Genomic DNA, 3,271 nt, shown 5'->3' with positions numbered 1-3,271 from the left:
ACTAGGGATATTATGAGGTGTACATTTTAAATAACATTTATGTTATTCACCAGACACCAGCTTTCCTAGGCTGAGCCAAAATAGAAAAACAGGCCATAAAAAGAGAGCCCAGCAAATCAATCTGTAATGATCACTAAAGCATCACTGGGGTAGATCCACAGTGCCAGTTATTTTTGGTCTCTATAGCGAACTGTCCCTTCAGAAAACTAGCAAATCCTATTTTTTCTGACAAGACTGGTTAAATTAATTTTCCTCAAATCGAAGTTTAATAGAGCAATGGTAAAGTGTGCCCCTAAATAAGTAAAATTAAAATAACCCCAAATCCAAAAACCTTTCATCTGTTTTCACAAAGTGAAAGGATGGAAAATGATTACCCTATATAGAGATCATATTTAGGGCTGTTTTCTAATACATTATATTACTAAGACACATCATTAAACACAAGTAGAACTAAACTTTGTAGGCTTCAAATATAATTAATAGCCTTATAACCTTCTCTTGGAATTTCTCAGCTCAAGCATCTATAAATTGGGTTTTCCTGAATGAGTGCATTTTTTGCTTGAATCTTTAGTACTTCTGATGTAATCTGAATAATACACATGATCCCAAACCTTCTATACTCAATTTTAAAAATGTGTAAATGCAGTACATACCAATTCTTTTTTTTTTTTTTTTTTTTGAGACACAATCTCACTCTGTCTCCCAGGCTGGAGTGCAATGGTGCGATCTCGGCTCACCGCAACCTAGCCTCCCAGGTTCAAGTGATTCTCCTGCCTCAGCATCCTGAGTACCTGGGATTACAGGTGCCTGTCACCACATCTGGCTAATTTTTGTATTTTTAGTGGAGATGGGGTTTCACCATGTTGATAACACCGGTCTCAAACTCCTGATCTCAGGTGATCTGCCTGCCTCCACCTCCCAAAGTGCTGGGATTACAGGCTTCAGCCACCGTGCCTGGCCATTACAGACCAATTCTTAGAAACTTATTTTCAACTTGTTGAATGTATTTGTAAAGATGAGAGAAAAATATTAAAATGTTAAATAAGGTTTCTATTTTACACTATCAATAAAATGTACATATTTTTAATGATTTTCTTAAACATATTTTTTCCCTCATTTTTTTTTCTGTCAGGTATAATTGCACCCACCCACCAATTTTAAATACAGGATAATGTCAAAATCGTCGGGAAATTAATAGAAATTTTAAATCCACAAACACGTGATATGGAACAGATATTCAAAAAAATCCCATTAAGTTAAACATTATCCCTATTTCAGGAACCCATCTGCAATATTTTAATTAGAATGCTTCTTTCCTGAAAATGCACATTCATTCTGTATGCTATTAAAATCATCCATAACTAAAAGTAAATAATGCTGTTTTAAAATATTGCAATGCATTTTCATGACTTGCTTTGCTTACGAACACAGGAATTTGTTCATAAATTATCTTTAAGAAATATGTAAATCTCCATACTTTATGAATGAGAAGACCAAATCAAAATAATGTGGCAGTCTGGGTTCATTTGGGAGATAAACATCACACAGTAGATTAGCAGGGATGTTTGATACAAAGCACTATTAAGTATGGTTAAAAAAAAAAAAAGAAAAGAAAGAAAAATGGAGTACGAATCCGTCAGGTCAGAACCATGGCAGTGACCAAGGAGCAAGATCTTACAGATGGACCTGTACGCGCTGCTAGACATTGAGGAGAAGGTGGCAGACAAAGAGGTGGAGAAGGCATATAGGCAGAAGGCCTCCTCCTGCTACCCTGAACTCTTCCACTGGCAGCTGAACTCTTCCACCAGCATTCTCAGGCCTTGGAGGTGCTGACCGATGCTGCAGCCGGGGCTGCGTATGACAAGGTCAGGAAAGCCAAGAAGCAGGCAGCAGAGAGGACTCAGAAACTAGATGAAAAAAGGAATAAAGTGAAGCTTGATCTGGAGGCCCGGAAGCGGGAGCGGCAGCACCAGGCGGAGGGGGAGGGAGAGGGGGAGGAGGAGGAGGAAGGGGAGGGGGGAGGAGGAGGAGGAAGAGGAGGAGGAGCTGGAGGAGAGCCTGAGCACCAGGACACTAGAGCGAGAGATCAAACGCCTGAGTGAAGAGGGTTCCCGGCAGCTGGAGGAAGAGCAGAGGCTGATCTGGGAGCAGATACACCAGGAGCGTGACCAGAGGTTGAGAGGAAAGACAAAATACTAAAGGCCAAGGAACCCCCAAACTAAAGCTAAAATGGAAGCGCAAGAAGGCTCGGGGGGAGTCAAAAGGTGGCTACTCCAAAGACGTCCTCCTATGGCTTTTGCAAAAGTATGGTGAGGTTCTCAACCTGGTGCTTTCCAGTAAGAAGGTAGGCACTGCTGTGGTGGAGTTTGCGACTGCCAAGGCTGCGGAGCTGGCTGTCCAGAATGAAGTTGGCCTGGTGGATAACCCTCTGAAGATTTCCTGGTTGGAGGGACAGCCCCAGAGCACCGTGGGCCCCAGCCGCCCAGCACTGTCAAAGGGCTCAGTGCTGTCGGTGAGGGAATACGAGAGCGTCATCGTGATGCACATGCGCCATGCGGCCGAGCTGCAATGGCTGATCTCAGACATGCACCAGCAAGACCGAGAGGGGCAGCCCACGTAACCCTGGCTCCAGCCACCCGCCGGCAGCCTTTTTCTTTAACGTCACCAATAAACTTTTGTTTGTCTGTTTTTAAGAAAAAAAGAAGGAATGATAAGATGTAAGGAAACTCTGTATGGTATCTTAGGGCTGATGCAGAGTACTCAAGGACAAACTTGGAAGGTGTTCAGACTTTATTGGAGAAAATGTGGGTCAGTTCACTGGATACCAGGAAAGTTCTCAATTTTGGTCAGACCACAGCTGATCCGAGTTCCTTGGCAAGTGAAAGGCCACCTGCAGGGTGTAGGGGATCAACAACTCTAAGCAAGTGTATCCAAGGGATTCCCGGCAATTGGTGGGGCCGGAGATCTTTAGAGCGGACAGTCTGTGGGAGCTCCGGTTTCCAGAGAGTGCTGTGCAAAGATAATCACCAGACAGAGGCTGCAATGTCACAGAGGGACAAAGGCTGGGCAGGTGACTGGGGCAGGCTCTACTAGCTATCCTCACCCCAGTCCTGCTGACACCCGGCTCACACAGGAAGTCTCTTTCTACTGCACTATTCCTCAAGCACCCTCTACTGCTCTTATCAAAGGAAAAATTATTTAAAATATTCTGTTTTAGAGCATACGTTGAAATGTGAATTCAGAGCCGAGAAATAATAAACTGACAACTGAC

General features: G+C 43.4%; 1 pseudogene; it reads left to right on the top strand.

Annotated features, from left to right (window-relative positions):
- On the top strand, positions 1,625–2,695 carry DNAJC17P1 (DNAJC17 pseudogene 1; annotated as a pseudogene).

This window comes from Homo sapiens, chromosome 2 (genome assembly GCF_000001405.40).
Source record: "Homo sapiens chromosome 2, GRCh38.p14 Primary Assembly".
NCBI lineage: Eukaryota > Metazoa > Chordata > Mammalia > Primates > Hominidae > Homo > Homo sapiens.
Note: the sequence above shows the minus strand (reverse complement) of the source record. Positions and strands in the feature narration are given on the sequence as shown.